Raw genomic sequence first — 27,025 nt, forward strand, 5'->3', positions numbered from 1 at the left:
GGCAAAACCCTGTCTCTACTAAAAATACAAAATAAATTAGCTGGGCGTGGTGGCATGTGCCTATAATCCCAGCTACTCAGGAGGCTAAGGCAGGAGAATTGCTTGAACCTGGGAGGTAGAGGTTGCAGTGAGCTGAGATCACACCACTGCACTCCAGCCTGAGCAACAGAACAAGACTTCGTCTCCCAGAAAACACATACACACACACACACACACATACACAGAAGACCAGGACTTAGGAGTCCTGGTCACAGGCTGAGGCTGCTCAGCTGCTGTGGATGCTGTTATATACACCGTCACACGAGGCCCGGAAACCCAACTGCTGCTTCTATGGCCTCTGAATAAGGGCCTGAACAGGTGGAGGGGCCACGGCCCATCACTGTCAACATATCAATGCTGATGGAAGAATCCTGCTCATAAAGCATCCCATCGTAAGACCAGTCGAAAGATTTGGTCCCTGCACCCAAATAAGCAGTTCTGTCTTCCTTTGTGAGACAGGAGGGGGTGGCCTGGCAGAGAGCCCTTCCTAGCTGGTGAGCTGGGGAGAATTCCCACGACTGTAAGACACTTGAGGCTGGGTGCGGTGGCTCACACCTGTAATCCCAGCACTTTGGGAGGCCGAGGCGGGCAGATCATGAGGTCAGGAGATCGAGACCATCCTGGCTAACACGGTGAAACCCTGTCTCTACTAAAAATACAAAAAATTAGCTGGGCGTGGTGGCAGGCGCCTGTAGTCCCAGCTACTTAGGAGGCTGAAGCAGGAGAATGGCGTGAACCCAGGAGGCACAGCTTGCAGTGAGCCGAGATCACGCCACTGCACTCCAGCCTGGGCAACGGAGTGAGACTCCATCTCAAAAAAAAAAAAAAAAGATACTTGAAGACCAGAGATCATTTCACTTCCTTGAGATGTTCTGGGTGAAGGTGGAGGAGAGTTAATAGTAAAACTTCACCTAGTCACACCTACTTGTCCCTTGAAATGTGGAAATTAACAAATTTGGAGCCTATGAGACCTCACTGTACAGATAAGGAAATCTTCTCAATTGTACCATTGGTTATCATCAAAATAGGACTAGGATACATCTTGCCTTTCTCTTTTTTATGCTAGACTGTTGCCTGAGGCCAGGCTTGGTGGCTAAGCCTATAATCCCAGCACTTTGGGAGGCCGAGGTGGGAGGATTGCTTGAGCTGAGGAGTTTGAGACCAGCCTAGGCAACATAGCTAGATCTCATCTCAAAAAAAAAGAAAAAAGAAAAAAAGAAAAAAAAATAGACTGTTGCCTGAGAATGCAACACTTTTGAAAGATGCATCAAACTCACATGGCTACCTCCAGATCACACAACCCTTTATTTTTTATTTTATTTTTTTAACTGAGACTGAGTCTTGCTGTGTTGCCCAGGCTAGAGTACAGTGGCGCGATCTCGGATCGCTGCAACCTCCATCTCCCGGGTTCAAGCAATTCTCCTGACCCTGCCTTCCGAGTAGCTGGGATTGCAGGCATGTGCCACCATACCCCGGTAATTTTTTTCTATTTTTAGTAGAGATGAGGGTTTGCCATGTTGATAAGATTGGTCTCCAACTCCTGACCACAGGTGATCTACCCGCCTTGGCCTCCCAAAGTGCTGGGATTACAGGTGTGAGCCACCATGCCCCGCCCACACAACCCTTTCTTATACTTTTTAGCTGTTTGGGGAGGGTCAGATCCCTCTAGAGTTTTCTCACTTACCTCCCTCCTATGTATTTTTACCCTCCGGCCCAACACCATTGTTGAGTGGACCCCATATCTTTGATTTTCCATTCTGTCTGATTATCATTATGCATCTGGGTATGAAGCTTTGTTTTGTTCCCCGCCTTCCACCCCCAAAGTCTTGCTCTGTTGCCCAGGCTGGAGTGCAGTGACGCAATCTAAGCCCACTGCAACCTCTGCCTCCCAGGTTCAAGTTATTCTCCTGCCTCAGCCTCCCAAGTAGCTGGGATTACAGACACATGCCACCACACATAGTTTTTTGTATTTTTAGTAGAAATAGGGTTTCACTATGTTGGCCAGGCTGGTCTCAGACTCCTGACCTCAGGTGATCCACCGGCCTTGACCTCCCAGTGTGCTGGGATGACAGGCATGAGCCACAGTGCCTGGTCTGGAGTTCTTAACGTATTTTCACCTTACCTACTAAAGGAGAAAGCGGGAGTAGTGGTGTGGGTTCACAGACATCACCACTGTTGTGAAAGCCTCTGGGTGAAGCTGTCATTCTTCTTTCTTCAAAATAGCGTAGGGTGTTTGTCTTAGTCCATTTGTGCTGCTATCACAAAATACCTGAGACTGGGCAATTTATAAGAAATCTAAATTCATTTTCTCACAGTTCTGCAGGTCGGGAGGCCCAAGATCAAAGTGCCAGCAGGTTCTGCTGCCCGGAGAGGACCTACTCCCTCGTGTCCTTCGAGAGTGGAGGAACCACTGCGCTCACAGGGTGGAAAGGCAAACAAGCTGAAACTCCTGCTGCATGAAGCCTCTTTTATAAGGGCCTTAATCCCATTCACGAGGGAGGAGTCCCCGCCTCTTCACACTATCTCATTGGCATCACCTGGGTTTTGGAAGGGACACATTCAAACCCTAGCAGTAAACAAGCCTTCATCAGTGCCTCTTAAAGGATCTGAAAATATGTAATTACAGCAGGTGTCTCTGGTGATTCTTATGCACAAAATGTTTGAGAGCCATGTGTTCGAATTTACATAAAATAATACCATAGTTTTCTCCATTCTTCCCAATACTTCCATTTCTATCATTTTAAAAAATGAGTATTGAATTCCCAAAACATAGACACAAATGCTCACTTGCTTTATAACCGAACACCTGCCAAAGGTGAATGAAAGTGATTTTTGGATTACCCACCTCTTGGGGTTCCTTTTTTTTTTTTTTTTTTTTTTGAGATGAAGTCTCGCTCTGTCATCAGGGCTGGAGTGCAGTGGCACTATCGCAGCTCACTGCAACCTCCACCTCCCGGATTCACGCCATTCTCCTGCCTCAGCCTCCCGAGTAGCTGGGACTACAGGCGCCCGCCACCATGCCCGTCTCATTTTTTTGTATTTTTATTAGATACGGGGTTTCACCATGTTAGCCAGGATGGTCTCGATATCCTGACCTCGTGATCCGCCCGCCTCGGCCTCCCAAAGTGCTGGGATTACAGGCGTGAGCCACTGCGCCCGGCCTCCTGCTCTTTTTCTTATCCCTACACCCCCTGGACTGGAGAGCCCAGAGCCTGAGGTCAGTAGAAAAAAGACTGCTGCGTCCAATGATGTTAGCTTTGAAGACCCACGTGATCTCTGAGGCCTAAGCTCTGATTGTTTTTATTTTGCCCAAATTCCTGTCTAAGGGGGCTGGGGAGTCATGCCCTACAAACCATAAATTCTCATCAGATGGGTTTTATTAACCCTATAGATCGTGACTTACTTTCCGATTTGGCATAACATTATGTGAAAAAGAAATAAGTCAAATATTTTACCCCAAGACATGTTTCTTTGCCGTATTTTGAAATGGTCCTGCAAAGCTGTTCTTTGTGGGAGAAAATTTCCATCTGTAAAGAATCTCTATTAACAGAGCTAGATCTTTTTCTTCCAGGCCCTCCCAATCCTGAAGAGATTAACTAAAAGTCTAGCACCTTTTAAAGGTCTGAATAGGAAACATTTGTCATCTATTGTCTCTAAGGGCAGCCACTATAAGACTTCAAAAGAACCTTAGTCTACACAATCTTTTTTTTTTTTTTTTCATTTTATTATTTTTTTTTTTGAGACGCAGTCTCGCTCTGTCATTCAAGCTGGAGTGCAGTGGCGCGATCTCAGCTCACTGCAACCTCCGCCTCCTGGGTTCAAGCGATTCTCCTGCCTCAGCCTCCCGAGTAGCTGGGATTACAGGCACCAGCCACCAAGCCCAGCTAATTTTTGTGTTTTTAGTAGAAACGGAGTTTCAACACCATGTTGGCCAGGCTGGTCTCAAACTCCTGACCTCAGGTGATCCACCAGCCTCAGCCTCCCAAAGTGCTGGGATTGCAGGTGTCAGCCACCGTGTGTGGCCACAATCTTTTATCTTAACTTGAACATCTCCTTTCTATCAATCCCAGGTCTGTAGACAAACTCAACCAATTGTCAATCAGAAAATGTTTACATTTACCTATAGCCTGAAAGTCCCCCCTCCCCCACCACTCCTGTTTTGAATTTGAATTGTCCCGCCTTTCTGGACCAAATCAATGTATTTCTTAAATGTATTTGATGGATGTCTCCTGCCTCCCTAAACGGTGCCCCATCCACCTTGGGCACACGTTCTCAGGACCTCCTGAGGGCTGTGTCACAGGCCATGGTCACTCATATTTGGCTCAGAATAAATCTCTTCAAATATTTTACAGAGTTTGACACTTTTCGTCAACATCTCGAAGGAGCACTCACCCCAGTACTGCCCATGATCAGAAAGAGGGCAATGTGGAAACGCCCGAAGCCGATAGTCTCCACTGCATCTTCCACGGTGAACGTCTTTGGCTCTAACAACGAAAGACAAAGTGGAAAAAATTGCTTCTGCAGGGAAGGGAATGCGTGTGGACTATCAGCTTCAGAAAGCCAACCCATTATTATAAAAACAAGTTAATACGGGGGGTCAGTGGTAGGCAACCTCTGCCTACTGGTCCAAGCAATTCTCCTCCCTCAGTCTCCTGAGTAGCTGAGATTACACACACCCACTGCCACACTGGCCTAATTTTTGTATTTTTAGTAGAGACGGGATTTCACCATGTTGGCCAGGCAGGTCCCAAACTCCTGACCTCAGTGATCCACCTGCCTCGGCCTCCCAAAGTGATGGGATTACAGGTGTGAGCCACCATGCCTGGCTGCTTCTTTTGACCTCACCTTTTTGCATTTAACCTTAAAAAGGATTCTTAACTCTAAGCAGCAGGTTGAGCTGGAGACTTCTATGATAATCTCACCTTTAACCTGTGGCTCTGCGGTCCCCAGGCTCAATTTCCGAAGGCTGAGGATCGTGACAGGCTCTGTTGGCTTGGTTGCCATCTTCTAAATAGCTCAAGTTCCCCAAACAGCTTCCCTGGTGGAAGCAAGGGAGGGAAGAAGGAAAGAAATATAATGGTTATTGGATAGTTAGTATATGCCAGGCACACTACACACAAAATTTCCTGAAGCCCTCACAAAAATCGAATGAGGTATGTATTTTTATCCTCTTTTCACACCGGGCCTCTGGAACCAAGCAGCTCAGTGTTTTTTTTCCCCTACTACTTTTTATTAATTGATTGATTGAGATGGAGTCTCGCTCTGTTGCCCAGGTTGGAGTTCAGTGGTGCAATCTCAGCTCACTACAACCTCCGCCTTCTGAGTTCAAGCGATTCTCGTGCCTCAGCCTCTTGAGTAGCTGGGGTTACAGGCATGCGTCACCATGCCTGGCTAATTTTTTTTGTATATTTTGTAGAGACAGGGTTTCACCATGTTCTCCAGGCTGGTCTCGAATTTCTGACCTCAGGTGATCCGCCCACCTCGGCTTCCCAAAGTGCTGGGATTATAGGCGTGAACGACTGTGCCCAGCCTTCCCTACTACTTTTTAGGTATGTGGCTTTGAGGAATTTGCCCTTTGCACACCTCAGTTTTCTCAAATGGGTTTCCTAAAATGGGGATGATATAATAATGGCACCCAACTTTCAAGGTTGTTGTGATGATTAAATGAGTTAGTTCACGGAAAGCACTCACCCCATAACTGGCAAGTACTAATGTGCTTGATAAATGGAAGCCATTACTATTATTACTCTGTATGAGGGATGTATTTGTCACTAATCATTATCCTGAACACTTTACATACATGAATTATTCCCTCTAATCTTCACAGAAGATCTGTGAAATATCATAATTTATCACTGTCTGGCACGTAAGGAACCTGAGAAATGGAGAGACTAAATGGCTAAATTAGATAATCGAGCTAAATTAAGAGGCCAAATTAGACAACCAGGACTCTGAGACCGGTAACCAACCTTGAGCCTGGGGCCAGACGCAGGCCTTGGCAATTTAACCAAGAGCATCCTCTGAGTGGGAGGGAAGATGGCTTTGATACAGAAAAACAATCGCAAAGCAGCACTTCACACTTCTGCAGATACTGTATTTCCAGTGTGCTTTCTTGCATGTCATTGTCTTTTTTTTTTTTTTTTTTTGAGGCAGAGTCTTGCCCTGTTGCCCAGACTGGAGTGCAGTGGCACGATCTCGGCTCACTGCAACCTCCGCCTACTGGTTCAAGAAATTCTCCTCCCTCTTACATGCACCCACTGCCACACTGGGCTAATTTTTGTGTTTTTAGTAGAGATGGGGTTTTGCCATGTTGGCCAGGCAGGTCCCAAACTCCTGACCTCAAGTGATCCGCCTGCCTTGGCTTCCCAAAGTGTTGGGATTACAGGCGTGAGCCACCATGCCTGGCTGCTTCTTTTTAACCTCGCCTTTTTGCATTTAACCCTAAAAAGGATTCTTAACTCTAAAAGCCAAAAGAAAACTAAGACAAGTAAAGATGGGTACCAAGTCAGTGGCTTACCCACACAGACTTTTGTGTGTGTGTGTGTGTGTGTGTGTGAGACGGAGTCTTGCTCTGTCGCCCAGGCTGGAGTGCAGTGGCCCGATCTCGGCTCACTGCAAGCTCTGCCTCCCGGGTTCATGCCATTCTCCTGCCTCAGCCTCCTGAGTAGCTGGGACTACAGGCGCCCGCCACCACGCCCGGCTAATTTTTTGTATTTTTAGTAGACACGGAGTTTCACCGTGTTAGCCAGGATGGTCTCGATCTCCTGACCTTGTGAATCCGCCCGCATCGGCCTCCCAAAGTACTGGGATTACAGGTGTGAGCCACCTTGCCCGGCCAGACTTTTTTTCAGATGACTCTAAGACATAGTAACTTAATTGTATATTCCTAGTGGGATAAACAGAAAGCCTAAACTATTCTTGCTAATGATATTGTTAGTAATAATATTGGTATCATCAGTTGCATATTAGTACATATTTAGGATAAGGAAAGTAATTTTGTTAATATTGTTAGGAACCCAGGTTTTCATTGTTAAGAGGAAAAAGATAAATATAAAATCAAATTTAGCTACGTAAAAAATTTATAATCCTAATTTTGAACTTGAAAGAGATATGAAATTATTATATAACATATAATATTAACAAATATATGTTATTAACAAATATAATAAATTAACAAATATTATTATTATATAACATATATAATAAATATAAACAAACAAACCCAGGCACTTTAGGTGACAAATTTTGAACTGGAAATAGAAATACGAGATTATTATATAACATATAATATTAACAAATATATTAACAAATATTATTATATAACATATATAATAAATAAACATAAACAAACAAACCCAGGCATCTTAGGTAAATGGCTGATTCTGGCTCAGGGACAGGAAATGTACAAACTGAGCCTGGGGCATCTTGTCGTAGCCTATAGCATGGGCAATATCAAAGACCCCTGGGGTTGTAATGAAAGATTACAAAATTAAAACTGAGGGCTGGGCGTGGTAGCTCACACCTGTAATCCCAGCATTTTGGGAGGCTGACGCAGGAGGATCACTTGAGACCAAGAGTTTGAGACCAGTCTGGCCAACACAGCAAAACCCCGTCTCTACTAGAAATGGAAAATTAGCCAGGCGTGGTGGCATGCACCTGTAGTCCCAGCTACTCAGGAGGCTGAGGCATGAGAATTGCTTGAACCCAGGAGGCGGAGGTTGCAGTGAGCCAAGATTGGGCCACTGCACTCCAGTCTGGGTGACAGAGTGAGACTCCATCTCAAAAAACAAAAACAAATTAAAATTGAAAAGGCTCCCACTGGCCAAAGATGGGACAATTTGAACATCAGAAAAACTAATGACTGCCAAGAATTGAAACACATTGAAGATGTTAAAATCCCTTTGTTCACAGTAATACCATAATGAAGACCTCATTGATCACCTTTGGAGAATGGTAAGAAATAAACTCATTCTGAAAACTAGCAAAAATAGTAAATATCTTGACTTTTTTGTACAAATTGTCTGTACATCAGGGTAACAAAACAGTTGCTGAGGGAAAATTATTTGTGAATAATAAAGCTAACATATGCAGAGAAAAGGATGGAATTAAATCATGACTGTTTTGCACCTTCTAAAAAAATAATGGATCCAGGCAACAGTCATCACTGGCTTGTAAACTATGAGGTGAAAGGCTGATGGTGAACTTTGCTATGAGAGGAATATGACTGATAACACCTGAACCCACTGAAAAATCTTAACACCATGGAAACAGAGACAGGCAGATTGCATTGGGTCCTAATGAGATGCAACAGGAAGACGTATACAACATCACCTGTGAAGTATTCTCATAAAGAGAAATGGAACCTGAATCGAATCAGGAATCTAGCTCTAGCTACCAGCTTACACAGGAAATGAAGAAACATGTTAAACAACACCATGTGGATGCAATAAGAAAAATGCAGAATGCTGGAAGCTGTATAAGAAAAATGACCCAGTTTCTTCATTAAATAAATGGCAAGGGAAAGAAGAGGAAAGGGGAACCTATAGACTAAAATAAAAGAGACACATCAAATCAAAAATGGACCTTGTTTGGATGTTCATTCAAACAAATCAACTATAAAAAATTTAAAAATAAAACAAGTGTGTGGCTGGGTGCAGTGGCTCACCTCTGTAATCCCAGTACTTTGGGAAGCCAAGGTGGGTGGATCACCTGAGGTCAGGAGTTCAAGACCAGCCTGACCAACATGGTAAAACCCCATCTCTACTAAAAATACAAAATTAGCCAGGCGTGATGGTGCATGTCTGTAATCTCAGCTACTCGGGAGGCTGAGGCACAAGAGTCGCTGGAACCCAGGAGATGGAGGTTGCTGTAAGCAGCGATCAAGCCATTGCACCCCAGCCTGGGCGACAAGAGCAAAACTCCATCTCAAAAAAAAAAAAAAGAAAAAAAAAAGAAAAACAGCAATGTGAGAGAGATATAGATACAGAAAATATCAGGGAAATTTTAGCAAGTTTGGAAATTTGAAGATATTAAGAAATTACTGATGGCCTCATTAGGTGTGACAATGGTATTATGGCTACGGTATAAGAAAGAATCCTTGTATTTTTGAGGTACATACTAAAATATTTACTAATGAAATGATGATGTCTGGGATTTATTTTAAAATAAATAATAGGGTGAGGGCAGCATGTATAGGAATTACATGGGTGTATAGATGAAAAAAGAATGGTGATCTATTGAAAATTATTGGAAGAAGATTATTATCTACTACTTTTGAGTATGTGTAGTATTTTCCAAAATAAATAATTCAAAAAAATGAGGTTCTGAGATTCTGGGGTTTTTTTGAGATGGAGTTTTGCTCTTTTGCCCAGGCTGGGGTGCAGTGGCGGGATCTCATCTCACTGCAACCTCTGCCCCCCGGGTTCAAGCAATTCTCCTGCCTCAGCCTCCCGAGTAGCTGGGATTATAGGTGCCCTCCACCATGCCCGAATAATTTTTGTATTTTTAGTAGAGACGTACGTTTCTCCATGTTGGCCAGGCTGGTCTTGAATTCCTGACCTTAGGTGATCCACCCGCCTTGGCCTCCCAAAGTGCTAGGATTACAGGCATGAGCCACTGTGCCTGGCAGTTGTGAGATGCTTATGTAACTTTTCCAATGTCTGATCACTAGTTAAGTAGTAGAATCAGAACTCACAAAGGGTTAATATCCAAAATATGTAAGAAACTCTTTGGGCGGGCACAATGGCTCATGTCTGTAATCCCAGCGTTTTGTGAGGCTGAGGCGGGCAGATCACAAGATCAGGAGTTCGAGACCAGTCTGGCCAACATGGTGAAACCCTGTCTCTATTAAAAATACAAAAATTAGCCAGGTGTGGTGGTGTATGCCTGTAATCCCAGCTACTCGGGAGGCTGAAGCAGGAGAAATCACTTGAAACTGGGAAGCAGAGGTTGCAGTGAGCCGAAATCATGCCACTGTACTCCAGCCTGGGTGACAGAATGGGACTCTATCTCGGCAGGGGGGCAGGTGGCAAAGAAGATCCTGGCCAGGTGCAGCGGCTCACGTCTATAATCCCAGCACTTTGGGAGGCCGAGGCAGGCAGATCACCCGAGGTCAGGAGTTCGAGAACAGCCTGGCCAACATGGTGAAACCCCATCTCTACTAAAAATACAAAAACTAGCAGGGCACGATGGTGGGTGCCTGTAATCCCAGCTACTCGGGAGGCTGAGGCGGGAGAATCACTTGAACCTGGGAGGCGGAGCTTGCAGTGAGCTGAGATTGTGCCACTGCACTACAGCCTGGGCAACACAGCAAGACTCCATCTCAAAAAAAAAAAAAAAGGAAAAAGGAACTCCTGCAACTTGAGCAAAACTCAAAAAACTCAAATGATGGGCAAAGGACCTGAGCAGACAGTTTTCAAGTGAAGACATACAAATTGCCGATAGGCAGCCAGTACAAATGGCCAATGAAAAGGTGCAGGACATCACTAATCCTCAGAAAAATGCAAATCAAAACCACAGTGAGACATTACCTCATACTTGTTAGGACGGCGATTATCAAAAGGTCAAGAGAGAGATAGTTGTGGGAATGTGGAGAAAAAGGAACCCTTGTACACTGTTGGTGGGAATGTAAATTGGTGCAGCCACTATGGAAAACAGTATTGAACTATCCTCAAAAAATTAAAATAGAACCACCAATATGATCCAACAGCCCTACTTCTGCATATATCCAAATGGAATTGAAATCAGTTATCTCAGAGAGATATCTGCACTCCCATGTTCACTACAGCATTATTCATGATAGCCAAAACATAAAACAACCCAAATGTCCATTAACGGATGTGTGGAAAAGGAAATTGGGTACATGCATACAAGGGAATTTTTCTTTTTCTTTTCTTTTTTTTTTTTTTTGAGACAGAGTTTCATTCTTGTTGCCCAGGCTAGAGTGCAATGGCAGGATCTCAGCTCACTGCAACCTCCACCTCCTGGGTTCAAGCGATTCTCCTGCCTCAGCCTCCCAACTAGCTGGGATTACAGGCATGTGCCACCACACCCAGCTAATTTTGTATTTTTAGTAGAGACAGGGTTTCACCATGTTGGTCAGGCTGGTCTCCGACTCCCGACCTCAGGTGATCCACCTGCCTCAGCCTCCCAAAGTGCTGGGATTACAGGTGTGAGTCACTGTGCCCGGCCACAATGGAATATTATTCATCTTTAAAAAAGAGGGAAATCCTGCCATCTGCAACAAGGTGGATGAAACTGAAGGACACGATGCTAAATTAAACAAGCCAGGCACAGAATAATGAATACTATGTTGTATCATTTACATGACGAATCTAGAATAGTCAAAGTCATAGAAGCAGAGAGTGGAATAGTGGATGCCATTCTGAGTGGCTGAGGGGAAGGGGGAACAGGGAAGTATTAGTCAAAGGCACAAAATTTTGGCTATACAAGATGAATGAGTCCTAAAGATCTTCCTACAGCATTGAGCCTATAGTTAACAATATGGTATCATGCGCTTAAAATTTTGCCAGAAAGGTAGATCTTCTGATAAGTGTTCTTATCACAAAAATAATAATAGCTGGGTGTGGTGGCTCATGCCTGTAATCCCAGGAATTTGAGACCAGCCTGGCCAACATGGTGAAACCCCATATCTACTAAAAATACAAAAATTAGCCAGGCGTGGTGGCGGGTGCAGTGGTGGGCACCTGTAATCCCAGCTACTCAGGAGCCTGAGGCAGGAGAATCACTTAAACCCAGGAGGCAGAAGTTGCAGTGAGCTGAGATTGCACCGCTGCCCTCCAGCCTGGGCAACAGAGCAAGACTGTCTCAAAAAAAAAATAAAATAAAATAAATAATAAATAAAAAGGCTAGAGGAAACGTTTGGAGGTAGCTTTATGGCATAGATGGTGGTGATGGTTTCACAGTGATACTTATCTCCAAACTCTTCAAGTTGTATACATTAAATATGTACCAGTTTTTATGTCATTCATGTCTCAATAAAGTGGTTAAAACAAAAACAGAAACAAAAAAATCTCAAGCCAAGCTGTCCTTTTGCCAAAACATAAAAATAGCCAGAGAGGGCCAGGTGCCACGGCTCACGCCTGTAATCCCAGCACTTTGGGAGGCCGAGGTGGGTGGATGGCCTGAGGTCAGGAGTTCGAGACCAGCCTGGCCAACCTGGTGAAAACCCGTCTCTACTAAAAATACAAAAATTAGCTGGGCGTGGTGGTGGGCACCTGTAATCCCAGCTACTTGGGAGGCTGAGGCAGGAGAATCGCTTGAACCCCGGGGGGGGCGGAGGTTGCAGTTAGCCGAGATCGTGCCACTTCACTCCAGCCTGGGTGAAAGAGTGAGACTCCGCCTCAAAAAAAAAAAAAAAAAAAAAAAGAAGCCAGAGAACAGCTGTGTAGTAGCACATCAAGGTCATTAATGTTTGCCAAGTGCTGGCTCTGTAGTTCCTGTGGAGGCTTCAGAGGAGGATCTGACATGTTCCTGGCCTAAGGAGTTTTTTGTTTTTTGGGTTTTTTTTTTTTTTTTTTTTGAGACAGATTTTCACTCTTTTTGCCCAGGCTGCAGTGCAATGGCGTGGTCCTGGCTCACCGCAACCTCCGCCTCCCAGGTTCAAGCAATTCTCCTGCCTCAGCCTCCCGAGTAGCATGCCTGTAATCATGCACCGCCACGCCCGGCTAATTTTGTATTTTTAGTAGAGACGGGGTTTCTCTGTGTTGGTCAGGTTGGTTTTGAACTCTCCACCCCAGGTCATCTGCCTGCCTTGGCCTCCCAAAGTGCTGGGATTACAGGCATGAGCCACCGCACCTGGCCTAGTTTTTAATCTAGCTGGGGACGCAAAAGATAAACATAACAAACAATTATACTGCAGTGTATATATTCTTTGTTTTCTTAAACACTGTCACAGAGACATAAATATTCCCAGATGGGAAAAAGATCAATAATGCTCAGAGATAATCCATGAAATTCTCCCTCTCAAGAGCGAACATAGAAAGTATGAAAAGTTGTTATTTACACATAGTGGGAAAAGCAAAATAATTGGTCTCTCAGCCCATCTGGGAGCCTGAAAGTTATGAGGACAGACAATTCTAAAACTACTGCTCCCTTTTCAGACATTGTTGGAACACCATTTGAAGGGTGTTCTTTATTTGGAAGCTCTTTTTTTTCCTTTTTTCCTCTTTTTTTTTTTTTTTTTTTTTTTTGAGACGGAGTTTCACTAGCGTTGCCTAGGCTGGAGTGCAATGGCGTGATCTCGGCTCACCACAACCTCCGCCTCCTGAGTTCAAGTGATTATCCTGCCTCAGCCTCCCGAGTAGCTGGGATTACAGGTGCACACCACCATGCCCAGCAAATTTTTTTATTTTTAGTGGAGATGGGGTTTTGCCATGTTGGCCAGGCTGGTCTCAAACTCCTGACCTCAGGTGATCCGGCCAACCTCAGCCTCCCAAAGTGCTGAGATTAGAGGCATGAGCCACTGCACTTGCCCTACATTTTTTTTATTTTAATTTAATTTTTATTTTTTGATACAGGGTCTTACTCTCTTGCCCAGGCTGGAGTGCTACCACACTTGGGCAAAAAACAAAAAAATTGGACTTAATAAAAATTTAAAACTTTTGTGCATCTAAAGACACTATCAAGAAGGTGAAAAAAAAAAAACAGAATGGGAGAGAGTATTTGCAAACCATATACCTGATAAGAGTGTAGTATCCAGAATATATAAAGAACTCTTACAACTCGATAATAAAAAGAAAATCTAATTTTTTTTTTTTTTAAATAGAGTCTTGCTCTGTCACCAGGCTGGAGTGCAGTGGCATGATCTCAGCTCACTGCAAACTTCCCCTCCCAGGTTCAAGTGATTCTCCTGCCTTAGCCTTCTGAGTAGCTGGGATTACAGGTGTGCACCACCACACACAGCTAATTTTTGTATTTTTTAGTAGAGACAAGGTTTCACCATGTTGGCCAGGATGGTCTCGATCTCTTGACCTCGTGATCCACCCGCCTCGGCCCCCCACAGTGCTGGGATTACAGGCGTGAGCCACTGTGCCTAGTGACAACCTAATTTTTCAAATGGGCAAATGATTTCAATAGACATGTCTACAAAGAAGATATGCAAATGGCCAATGAGCACATGAAAAGAGACTCAACATCATTGGTCATTCGGGAAATGCAAATCAAAACCACAAGATATCACTTCCTACTCAGTAGGATGCCGAAAAATTTTGGGGTTTTTTTTTTTGAGACAGAGTTTCACTCTTGTTGCCCAAGCTGGAGTGCAGTGGCATGTTCCTGGCTGACTGCAACCTTTGCCTCCTGGGTTCAAGTGATTCTCCTGCCTCAGCCTCCCAAGTAGCTAGGATTACAGGCATGCACCACCACACTCGGCTAATTTTATACTTTTAATAGAGACAGGGGTTTCACCATGTTGGTCAGGCTGGTCTTGAACTCCTGACCTCCAGTGGTCCACCTGCCTTGGCCTCCCAAAGTGCTGGGATTACTGGTGTGAGCCACAGCGCCCAGCCAGATCCCTAAAATTAAAAAGGTAGGCAGTATGTTTCTCATACTTTATAATTATTTTTTTAAAAAGGCAGTAGCAAGTGTTAGTGAAGATGTGGGGGTATCAGAACCATTGTGTGTTGCTGGTGGGAATTTAGAATCATGTAGCCCCTGTAGAAAACAGTTTGTCAGTTCCTCAAAGGGTAAACATAGAGTTACCGTATGTGCTGTTCCACTCCTAGGTATAACCTCAGGAGAATTGAGAACATAATCTTATGAGTTGAATTGTGTGCCCATCAAAATTTATATATGGAAGACCTAACCTCTAGTACCTCAGAATGTGACTTGATTTGGAATTAGGATCATTGCAGATGTAATTCGTTAAGATAAAGTCAGCTCTTCCTCTTTCCCTAAGCGGCCTGAGGTGATCTGTGAAATGGTTTGCTATTCACTTGACCCAGAGAACTCCACAAAATCATGCAAATCAAGACGTTCAAATCTTTGTGTTCACTTTAAGAACACTCATGACACTTCCCAGGTCATCAAGGGTATGCATATATGAAAAGCCACGAAGTATCTGAAAGATGTCACTTTACAGAAATAGTGCGTACCATTCCGATGTTACAATGGTGGAGTGGGCAGGTGTGCCCAGGCCAAGCAGTGGGGCTGGACACAAGGTTGGTGGCCCAAAAAGAGTGCTGAATTTTTGCTGCACATGGTTAAAAATGCAGAGAGCAATGCAGAACTTAAGGGTTTAGATGTAGATTCTCTGGTCATTGAGCATATCCAAGTGAACAAAGCACCTAAGATGCGCCGCCGGATCGACAGAGCTTATGGTCGGATTTACCCATGCATGAGCTCTCCCTGCCACATCGAGATGATCCTTACTGAAAAGGAACAGATTGTTCCTAAACCAGAAGACAAGGTTGCCCTGAAGAAAAAGATATCCCAGAAGAAACAAAAACTTATGACACGAGAGTAAATTCAGCATTAAAATAAATGAAATTAAAAGTAAAAAAAGAAAAAAAAAAAAGGGCCAGATGTGGTGGCTCTGCCTGTAATCCCAACACTTTGGGAGGCTGAGGTGGGTGGATCACAAGGTCAGCAGTTTGAGACCAGCCTGACCAACATGGTGAAACCCCGTCTCTACTAAAAATACAAAAATTAGCCGGGCACGGTGGCGCACACCTGTAATCCCAGCTACTCAAGAGGCTGAGGCAGGAGAATCTCTTGAACCTGGGAGGTGGAGGTTGCAGTGAGCTGAGATCATGCCACTGCACTCCAGTCTGGGCAACACAGTGAGACTCCGTCTCAAAAAAAAAAAAAAAAAGATGAAATTATACTTGAGTGGAGTGGGAGTCTTACCCATTGTAAATGATGTCCTCATAAAATGGGAGAATTTGGACACAGAGACAGCACACAGGGAGAATGGCCTGGCAACACGAAGGCAGATATGGGGGTGATGCATCTATAAGCCAAGGAACCCCAAGGGGTGCCAGCAACCACCAGCAGCTAGGGGAGAGGCATGAATCAGATTTTCCCTCCCAGCCTCAGAAAGAACCCACCCTGCCAAAACCTTGGTCTCAGACTTCTAGCCTCTCGAATCATGAAATGATCAATTTCTCTTGTTTAAGCCGCTCCGTGTATGGTACTTTGTTATGGCAGCCCTAGGGAACTAATACACGTGTCCACGCAAACACTCATACATGAATGGTCAGAGAAGCATCATTTGAGATAGAGTTTCACTCTTGTCACCCAGGCTGGAGTGCAATGGCGTGATCTGAGCTCACTGTAACTTCCAGATGCAAGATGGATCACTTGCATCTGGGAGCCAAAAGTAGGAATGGTCCAAATGCCCATCATCTGATGAATGGATAAATGAGATGTGGTCTATCCATACAATGGAATATCATTCAGCAATAAGAAGGAATGGAGTTCTGATACTTGCTGCATGATGAATGAATCTCAAAAACATGCTAAGCAAAAGAAGTCATATAACACTATATATTGTATGATTCCATTTATATGAAATATCCATTTATGTGAAAATTCACAGAGACAGAAATAGATGAGTGGTTGCGGGGGGAGGAGGAGAGTAGGGAGTGACTGATAATAGGTGTGAGGTTTCTTTGGCAGGTGATGAAACATTCTGGAATTCTACCATGGTGATGGTTGCACAACCTTGTGAACATACTCAAGATCACTGAATTGTACCCTTTTCTTTCTTTCTTTCTTTCTTTTTTTAATGGGACAGAGTCTCACTCTGTTGCCCAGGCTGGAGTGCAGTGGCGCAATCTCAGCTCACTTCAGCCTCTGCCTCCCAAGTTCAAATGATTCTCCTGCCTCAGCCTCCCAAGTAGCTGGGACTACAGGTGTCCATCACCATGCCCGACTAATTTTTTTGTAATTTTACTAGAGACTGAGTTTCACCATTTTGGTCAGGCTAGTCTCAAACTCCTAACCTCAAAAGATCCACCCGCCTTGGCCTCCCAAAGTGCTGGGCTTATAGGCATGAGCCACCGCACCCAGCCTGAATTGCACTCTTTAAAATGGTGACTTTTATGTAGGTGGATTATGTCAATTATATGTTTATTCCTTTTTTAAAAACAGAAAAATAAAATAGTAATGCAAATCACAGCGGCAGACTTTAAAACCAAAAGGAATCTGGCTTTTATAGTATCTAGGAATAAAACGATTCAGTTTGATGGAAAAATAGTATTTTAAAATCCTAGTGAGTTCATTCTAAGTTCAGTTACAACTAAAATGCTTAACAATGAGTTCAGTCTTCAGTCAACATTAAATCTCTTCTATCAGTCATGTTTTATGATGTCTCAGACCCATCTAAACGTATTTTACAATTTTAACAATCTTAAAGGTTTACATTTTAGAGGGGCACTAAAACAATTTCCATCAAGTCTCCTTGTTTTCTACATTGAACAGCAAGAAACCTGGAAATCTTCCACTTACTACTGAGCAGAACAAGTTTTGCTGTTGTTGCTGTCGTTGTTGTTTTTGAGACCAAGTCTCGCTCTTGTCACCCAGGCTGGAGTGCGATGGCGTGATCTCGGCTCACTGCAACCTCTGCCTCCCAGGTTCAAGCGATTCTCGTGCCTCAGCCTCCCGAGAAGCCGGGATTACAGGCGTGCACCACCACACCCAGCTAATTTTTGTATTTTTAGTAGAGACGGGGTTTCGCCACGTTGGCCAGGCTGATCTCGAACTCCTGACCTCAGGTGATCCACCCACCTCGGCCTCCCAAAGTGCTGGGATTACAGGCATGAGCCACTGTGCCCAGCCCAAGTTTTTATTTATTTTAATTTAATTTTATTTATTTTTGAGACAGAGTCTCGCTCTGTCTCTGCCTCCCAGTTTCCAGGGATTCTCCTGCCTCAGACTCCTGAGTAGCTGAGATTACAAGCAGGCACCACCACACCCAGCTAGCTTTTGTATTTTTAGTAGAGACAGGGTTTCACCATACTGGCTAGGCTGGTCTCGAACTCCTAACCTCAAGTGAATCAGCACTTTGGGAGGCCGAGGCGGGTGGATCACTTGCATCTGGGAGGAGGAGGTTACAGTGAGCTGAGATCATGCCATTGCACTCCAGCCTGGGTGACAAGAGTGAAACTCCATCTCAAAAAAGAAAAAATAGCCTTATGAGTTTCACGTCAAGTTTTGCTACAAAATGGAATTGAATATATCCATCATTCTTTCAAAAAGCATGTGTGTATGCATGTGTGCTGAGAAGACTACAAGCAGTATCACGTTGTTTAAATAGTGAGAAAGGAGTAGTGATGGGAGGTGAAGCTGCAGAGGTGGGCAAGGCCAGAAGCACCCCACCTGCTGAGCATGAATTCCATTCTATAGCCACTGCTCCCCAACATTGGGCCAAACACATATAAACGCTCCATGCAAAAAATATGTGACACAAGTACATATTACAGTTTCAGATTGCCATTTCTTATAACAAAAGTCAACATAATAGCATTGTTGACTTCATAGTCATTATATATTTCTGATTAAAAAATAATAATAATAATATTTTGTTTCCATGATATGAAGAAAATTAAAATGTGGCATAGTTTTAGGCAACTGATGATATGAAAGAAAATAAAATTCCTTTTGATCTTGACATTAGACCGCTAGAGAAATAAATAGAATCTTCATATGCAACCCTTGGTCCTAGAGTGAGCAAGATTTACATGGCCATAAAAAAAGGGGCTGTTTATTCATTTTCAGGTTCACAGTTAACCTCCAGAGTTTTGAATAAAACATATAAGACTTGATTGTGGTTTCAGGACGGAACAAAATGTCAGTATATTTGACAAGGGGACAGCCAATTACATATAACAAAGGTGAGAGTTGGAAGTCGGTGAGGAAAGGTGGAGGGATTGGTAGGCATCCTACCCAAAGAATCAACATGCTAACTAAAGTTCACATAATAAGGACTAGAGCTATAAGTGTACCATGTATAATTACAAAAATAGCTAAGAGAATAACTAAAGATACCTATAACATATTGGGAGAATAGCACAAAGGAAGGAAAATTATGACCTAAATTACTTTTCTTGTGAGTAATGGATTGATACTGTCATAAACCAAGAAATAAAGTATAATTATATTGTTTTAATCATAAAAGTAATCACTCAGAAAACTAAAAACACACAATAAAAAGAAATTTCTTGCCAGGTGTGGTGGTTCACGCCTGTCATCTCAGCACCTTGGGAGGCCAAGGCGGAAGGATTGTTTGATTGCTTGAGGCCAGGAGGTCAAGACCAGCTTGGGCTGGGTATAGAGAGACCTCTTCTGTACTAAAAATTTTTTAAAAATTAGCTGGGCATGGTCCCAGCTACTTAGAGGGCTGAGGCAGGAAGATCACTTGAGCCTAGGAGTTCCAATCCAGCCTGGATGATAGAACCCAGAAGAAAGAAAGAAGAGAGAGAAAGAGAGAGAGAAAGAAGGGAAGGAAAGAAAGAAGAAAAGAAAGAAAAAGAAAGAAAGAAAGAAAGAAAGAAAGAAAGAAAGAAAGAAAGAAAAAAGGAAAGAAAGAAAAAAGGAAAGAAAGAAAAAAGAAAGAAAGAAAAAAGAAGAAAGAAGGGAGGGAGGGAAAAAGAAAGAGAGAGGGAGGGAGGGAGCGAGGAAGGAAAGAAGGAAGGAAGGGAGGCAGGGAGGGAAGGAATTTCTTTGGGGATGTGGGAAGCTGAAGCAGGAGATCACTTATTTCTGTTATAAACTCATTTTACTATTGGATTTGTTGCCATGTGCCCTTATTACTTCAACAAAAAAATTTATAAATTTAAAGAAAGCTAAACAAAAAAACAATATGAAACTTACATGTTTAATAGAATCTCTTACAGCTCAGGAAGGAAAAGATGGAGGCATCAGGGACATGAAGAATACATACAGTGGCTGGCAAATCTATGAAACTGTGTTCACCCGCACCGTACCTTCACATTAAAGGGAGTTATAATTCTTCTCTGTCAGATTTGCAAGAATTTAAAAGACTGATTATACCAAGTGCAAGGGAAATAGGCACTCGAACTATTGGCAGACGTGTAAATTGGTACAACCTTTCTCAAAGGCAATGAGGCATTGGATGACAGAATTCTTGACTGAGCAGTTTCACTCTGAGGACTCATCCTCATGAGATAGTCAAACACGTATACAACGATATAGGTGGGCATAAGGAAGGTCACCACACTGTTGGGTTTTTTTTGTTTTTGAGACGGAGTCTCGCTCTGTCGCCCAGGCTGGCGTTCAATGGTGTGATCTCGGCTCACTGCAACCTCTGCCTCCTGGGTTCAAGTGATTCTCCTGCCTCAGCCTCCCCAGTAGCTGGGATTACAAGTGCCTGCCACCACGCCCACCTAACTTTTTGTATTTTTAGTAGAGATGGGGTTTCACCATGTTGGCCAGGCTGGTCTCGAACTCCTGACCTCAGGTGATCCACCTGCCTCTGCCTCCCAAAGTGCTGGGATTACAGGCATGAGCCACCGTGCTGACCCACACTGTTGTTTTAACAACAACAACAAAAGAATTAGGTACAAACTAAATGCTCACCAGTAGAGAAGTGGCTAAACAAATGATAATATATTCCCATAATAGAATGCCATATAGAAGCTCTTAAGTAAGGCTATTGATTGTTGAACTGTGTTTTCCAATATTTATCTATATAATGATCCCAATTTATAAAATTATTATTATTTTGTTTGTTTGTTTTGAGACAGAGTTTCGCTCTTGTTGCCCAGGATGGAGTGCAATGGTCTTGGCTCACTGCAACCTCCGCCTCCTGGGTTCAAGTGATTCTCCTGCCTCAGCCTCCTGAGTAGCTGGGATTACAGGCATGCGCCACCACACCCAGCTAATTTTTGTATGTTTAGTAGAGACAGGGTTTCACCATGTTGACCAGGCTGGTCTCGAACTCCTGACCTCTGGTGATCCACCCACCTCAGCTTCCTAAAGTGCTGGGATTACAGGCATGAGCCACCACGCCTGGCCAATTTATAAAATTATTTAATTACATAATTTTATAGATGGAATGATTTCAGCAAAGATGTTATCCAAAACTGTGTTTAGTCTTTCAACAAATATTTCTTGAGCACTACTAGGTATCAGACAATAAAATACAATGAAAAGAGTTCCTGTTTCCAAAGAACTTGCAGCCTACTGTGGAAGAAAGACAAGCATTCCGCCAGGCACAATGGCTCACACCTGTATTCCCAGCACTTTGGAAAGCCGAGGTGGGCGGATTGCTTGAGCCTAGGGGTTCAAGACTAGCCTGGGCAACATGGCAAAACCCCATCTCTACCTCAAATACAGAAATTCAGTGGGTGTGGTGGAGCCCACCTGTAGTCCTCGCTACCTGGGAGGCTGAGGTGGGAGGATCACCTGAGCCTGGGAGGTTGAAGCTGCAGTTAGCCATGATCATGCACTGCACTACAGCATGGACAACACAGTGAGACTCTGTCTCAAAAAGAAAAAAGGCAAATATTCAGGTATGACAAATATGGCGATAAGGTTAGTGAAGGATGCTCTGGCAACATAAGAGAGGGCTCCTTCTCTTGTGAGTCTTGAGACCTGGGGGGGCTTCTGTAGGGAAGTCTAAATTGAGACTTCAAAAGAAGTAGTAGTTGACCAAGAGAAAAAGGGTGACGTTAGAATTACTTACAGGGTTTAGATTTTAGGTTTCTCGGTTCTCTTTTTTACTTTATATTTTTATGCATTGTTTGAATTTTTATTTATTTGTTTTTATTTATTTTGGGGCGGAGTCTCACTCTGCCTCACCCAGGCTGGAGTACAGTGGCGTGATCTCGGCTCACTGAGCCTCTGCCTCCTGGGTTCAAGCGATTTTCCTGTCTCAGCCTCCCGAGTAGCTGCGACTACAGGTGTGTGCCACCACGCCTGGGCAATTTTGTATTTTTAGTAGAGACAGGGTTTCACCATGTTGGCTAGGCTTGTCTTGAACCCCTGACCTCAGGTGATCTGCCCACCTTGGCCTCCCAAAGTGCTAGGATTACATGCGTGGGCCACCGCACCCAGCCTAGTTTGAATTTTTAGAAAGACTGTTTTCCTTCACCAAGAATTCTTTTTTGAAAAAATGAACCACTGAGGACATGTTGACATGTTACTCACATGTTGTTGACATGTTGCCCACAGTGCTCCCTATGCCAGGCAGGTCTGTTTTTTTTCTTTTTTCTTTTTTTGAGACAGGGTCTTGTCTGTTGCCCAGGCTGGAGTGCAGTAGCATGAACATGGCTCACTACAGCCTCAACCTCCTCCTCCTGGGCTCAACTGATCCTCTGGCTTCAGTCTCCCAAATAGCTGGAACCACAGGTGCACACTCCCATGCCTGGCTAATTTTGTTGTTGTTGTTGTTTGTTGTTGTTGTTGTTGTTGTTTTGAGATGGAGTTTTTCTCTTATCCCCAGGCTGGAATGCAATGGTACAATCTCGGCTCACTGCAACCTCTGCCTCCTGAGTTCAAGTGATTCTCCTGCCTCAGCCTCCCAAGTAGCTGGCATTACAGGTGCCCGCCACCATATCCAGCTAATTTTTTGTATTTTTGGTAGAGATGGGATTTCACCATGTTGGTCAGGCTTGTTTTGAATTCCTGACCTCAGGTGCTCCACCTGCCTCAGCCTCCCAAAGTGCTAGGATTACAGGCGTGAGCCACCGCACCCTGGTCTGCCCGGCTAATTTTTAAAATTTTGGTAGAAACGGGGTCTTACCATGTTGACCAGACTGGTCTTAAACTCCTGGGCTCAGACAATCTTCCTGCCTCAGTCTCCCAGAGTGCTGGGACTTACAGATGTGAGCCACCATGCCCAGCCAAGGCCTGTGTTTTTGTGCCACATGCCCCCACCTGCTCTCCATTACTGGCCATGACCTATTGGGTCAGGGATAGGCACTTGACCTGGAGACGATCAAATGATTGGTCAGAAGTCCACATGGTAGCCTGGCATAAGAGGCCCTGTTTGATAGTGGTGATGGGTGCACAATATTGTGAATGTACTACATGCCATTGAAATGTTCATTTTAAAACTGTTACAGGCTGGGCATGGTGGTGCATACCTGTAATCCCAGCACTTTGGGATGCCACGGTGGAAGGATTGCTTGAGGTCAGGAATTTGAGACCAGCCTAGGCAACAGAGTGAGACCCCCATCTCTACAAAAATAATACTACTACTAATAACTTTAAAAATAAAAAATTTACAATGGCAAATTTGAAGTTATGTGTATTTTACCATAGTTTTTAAAAATTAAAAGTACAAGAAAAAATTGCCAAAAAAATACAGGTACCCAGTAAATGTTTGTAGCAGATATAAGCCACAAATTACAAGACAAAAATATTAAGATTCTAATGGCCAGTCTGGGCAATAGAGTGAGACCTGGTCTCTACAAAAAAAGTTTTTTAAAAAATTAGCCCTGTGTGGTGGCACGTGCCTGTGGTCCCAGCTACTTGGGAGGCTGAGGTGGGAGAATCACTTGAGCCTGAAAGGTGGGGGCTCCAGTGAACCGTGATCATGCCACCCACTGCACTCCAGCCTGGGCAACAGAGGCAGACCCTGCCTCAAAAAAAAAAAAAAAAAAAGAAGAAGAAGAAGTGGAAGAGGAAGAACAAGAGGAGGAGAAGGAGGAAAAGAAGAGGAAGAAGAAGAGGAAGAAGGATAAGAAGAGGAAGAGGAAGAGGAGAAGGAAGAAAAGAAGAAGGAGAAGAAAAAGAAGAAGGAGAAGGAGGAGGAGAAGGAGAAGAAGAAGAGGAAGAAGAAGAAGAGAGAAGAGAAGGAAGAAGGAGGAAGATGAAAGAAGATAATCCCAATAGATTCACAGGCAAATTGTAGGAACAAACAATTCACAAGAGGACATGTAAATTATAATTTTGAAATCTTTACGTATAATTTTATGCCAACTAAATTAACAAACATGGAAAAGAAAGAAGGAAGAAAGGACAGAGGAAGGGAGGAAAGAGGAAAGGAGGGAAGGAAGAAGTAATGAAAAAGAGGAGAAGTTGGCAGGAATGGAGAGAGGGAAAAAAGAAAGGAAGGAGGGAAGGGAAGAAAGGAAGGGATGAGGGAAGAGTAGAGGTGGGAATGAAGCAAGAGGAGGAAGGAAAGAATGGAGGGAAAGAAGGAGGGGGAAGGAAGAAAGCCAGTAGTCATGGTGAAATCGAGATTAAACTTACTCCATTTCTTCTGCCTGCATTTCCTCATCTGGGAATAAAAATAATTCTACCTGCCGGTGGGAGAAATTGCTATTGCCTACCCAACATCAGGGTTTCCCTTGTACCTTGCTGGTGGCAGTGGCCACTGAGATGCAGGTGAAGGTTGTTGGGGCTTCAGGGAAAACCTTCTTCTGCCCCTTGTCTCTTCCTCACACCCCCTCGCTAGACTAGAGGCAGGGTGGCTGGCCCTCTGGCTGGCATCTCAGGTCATGATGCAAATTGAAAGACGGAAACTTTGGACCGAATCTGGCCAGCATAAGACAGGAACAGCCTGGAAACCGAGGACCAAGAGATCTCCCGCAGCCTCGGACTGCTCACCTCCAGACACCACGTATGAAGGAAAGAAATACACCTCTTAGATCCAAGCCACTGTGATTTCTGGTCTCTGTTACTTGCAGTTTTGTGCAATTCTCAACTGATAAACTTTCTCTTAAGTGTGTGATGACAATGAAATTAGATGATGTTTATAAAATATGTCAATGTGCCATTGCATCAAAAGTCCTCATGGTAGTACTGTCTCTCACCTCTGAGCAAAGCCATCGAACAAATTTTTACAATTCACCATAATCACAAAGCATTTACTCAGGAAATGTTTTAACGTATGTACAGGCTGGGGGCGGTGGCTCACACCTGTAATCCCAGCACTTTGGGAGGCCCAGGAGGGTGGATCACCTGAGGTCAGGAGTTTGGGACCAGCCTGGGGAACACGGTGAAACCTCATCTCTACTAAAAATACAAAAAATTAGCTGGATATGGTAGCACATGCCTGTAGTCCCAACTACTCGGGAGGCTGAGGCAGGAGAATTGCTTGAACCCAGGAGGCGGAGGTTGCAGTGAGCTGAGATCATGCCACTGCACTCCAGCCTAGGTGACAGAGTGAAACTCCGTCTCCAAAAAATTAGCTGGGTGTGGTAGCGGGTGTAGTCCCAGCTACTTGGGAGGCTGAGGCAGGAGAATCTCTTGAACCTGGGAGGCGGAGGTTACAGTGAGCTGAGATTGTGCCATTGCACTCCATCCTGGGCGACAACAGCGAAACTCCATCTCAAAAAATAAAAAAATAATAAAAACAAAAATAAAGTATCTAAAGAGTTACCAAATACATATATGTCTCCAAAAGGCATTTATTGCTAATATTCTGCTAATATTAGAACACACTGGGATCAAATAAAAAATTACCCAAAGAGGGGAGGAAAAAGTCACTTGTTTTCTAAACTAGGTTGATTTTATTTCATGGGTAAACTTGAGTGGTGTTGGGAAATTGTGACCTCAGTGTGCTACTTTCCTACTGGAAAATAAGACCTCAAAACCTCTCCAAACTAGTCACTTCATCTTACTTATGAGAGGCACGACAAAATGGATACTTTTCACCAAAATTCTCCTGTGTTCTACATTGCAAAATCAATATATTTTAGAGGAAGAAGAAGCTTTCAAACTTCAGTTCTTCCAAAGGCATAGTTGGTGCAGGGGGTGGGGTGAGGGTGGAAAAAAAGGGCTGGTGGTGAGGTGTGGCTCCGAGGAGCAAGTCAGCCCTCGCCCCGCCACCGGAACAGCGTTCAGTGCCCGTCACTTGTAACACTGGTCTTCCCAATGCATAGCCCTTGAAGATAATCAGGGCCGGGTGGGTCCCCGGTGTCAGGGGAATTTGCCAAGAGGGGGAAGAAACAAACGTACAGGTTTACCTGCAACAGAGAAAGTCCTCATTCCCACCCTATTAGGATACAGAGTTTTCAACAACAGGATTCCTTTGGTGGAGCAAGTTGCAGGGCACAGGGCTGTTGGCAGGAGATTATCAGGATTGTAGCGTTCACATCTGTACCTTGGAAAGGGGCTTACTCTCCAAGTCATTAAAAGGACACTCAAACACAAACTCAAAGTTAGTTAGCATATATATGAAATGTATTTTCTTGGTAGTCTCTAGAGTTTCAGCCAAAAGCTACATGAAGAAAGAAGAGAACAACATGTTTGAGAGATGGAGATGAGGAACATTATTGAGAGATAGAGCTTGCAATCTTAACTCAGCAATGGAATGCTGGAAAGGCTGAATTGACATACTCTGTTCTTTGGTTCCGTATGTCTTTTTTTTTTTTTTTTTTTTTGAGACAGAGTCTTACTCTGTTGCCCAGGCTGGAGTGCCGTGGTGTGATCTTGGCTCACTGCAACCTCTGCCTCCCGGGTTCAAGCGATTCTTCTGCCTCAGCCTCCTGAGTACCTGGGATTACAGGCACCCACCACCATGCATGGCTAATTTTTTTGTATTTTTAGTAGAGACGGGGTTTCACCATCTTGGTCAGGCTGGTCTTGAACTCCTGACCTTGTGATCCACCCACCTCAGCCTCCCAAAGTGCTGGGATTACAGGCGTGAGCCACCGCACCCGGCTGGTTTCCTGTGTCATTCTAAATCCTTTCTAACCCAGTAAGAGGATGGATGGATGGATGGATGGATGGATGGATGGATGGCAGATGGATGATCAGTTAGACCAACTCAGGAAAATAGGGAATAACATGGAAAAGAATGCTTCGCGTCCCTCACTATAAGTTCCTAAAAAGCTACAATGGGAAAGTAATCCATGACCTACCTTCACAAAACCTGGTGAGAAACTGATAGATTGGGGATTTTCCCTGAACTCAGATGGAGTTCAAGCTTCATTAAAACAAATTCTAAAGGACTGATTGACATTTTATTCTATTGTATTTTGTTATACTGATTGTTTTTTAACCAGAAATAATTGGGCCACAGTAGATCTTTTTTAAACTGAGTTTTGTGTGT

The 27,025-nt window shown here is 43.9% G+C and overlaps 1 protein-coding gene and 1 pseudogene across 1 annotated transcript in view; one reads left to right on the plus strand and one right to left on the minus strand.

Annotated features, from left to right (window-relative positions):
* SVOPL (SVOP like) overlaps positions 1-27,025 on the minus strand; it is a 107,078-nt gene that overhangs the window by 79,718 nt on the left and 335 nt on the right. The window contains exons 2-3 of the mRNA NM_001139456.2: positions 4,962-5,077; positions 4,432-4,523 (exon numbers count right to left, since the gene is read on the minus strand). Of these exons, the coding sequence (NP_001132928.1) occupies positions 4,432-4,523; positions 4,962-5,043 (174 nt within the window). The 5' untranslated portion in view covers positions 5,044-5,077. The remainder of the gene's footprint in view (positions 1-4,431; positions 4,524-4,961; positions 5,078-27,025) is intronic.
* On the plus strand, positions 14,959-15,561 carry RPL17P27 (ribosomal protein L17 pseudogene 27; annotated as a pseudogene).

Source organism: Homo sapiens, chromosome 7 (genome assembly GCF_000001405.40).
Source record: "Homo sapiens chromosome 7, GRCh38.p14 Primary Assembly".
In the NCBI taxonomy this organism is placed as follows: domain Eukaryota; kingdom Metazoa; phylum Chordata; class Mammalia; order Primates; family Hominidae; genus Homo; species Homo sapiens.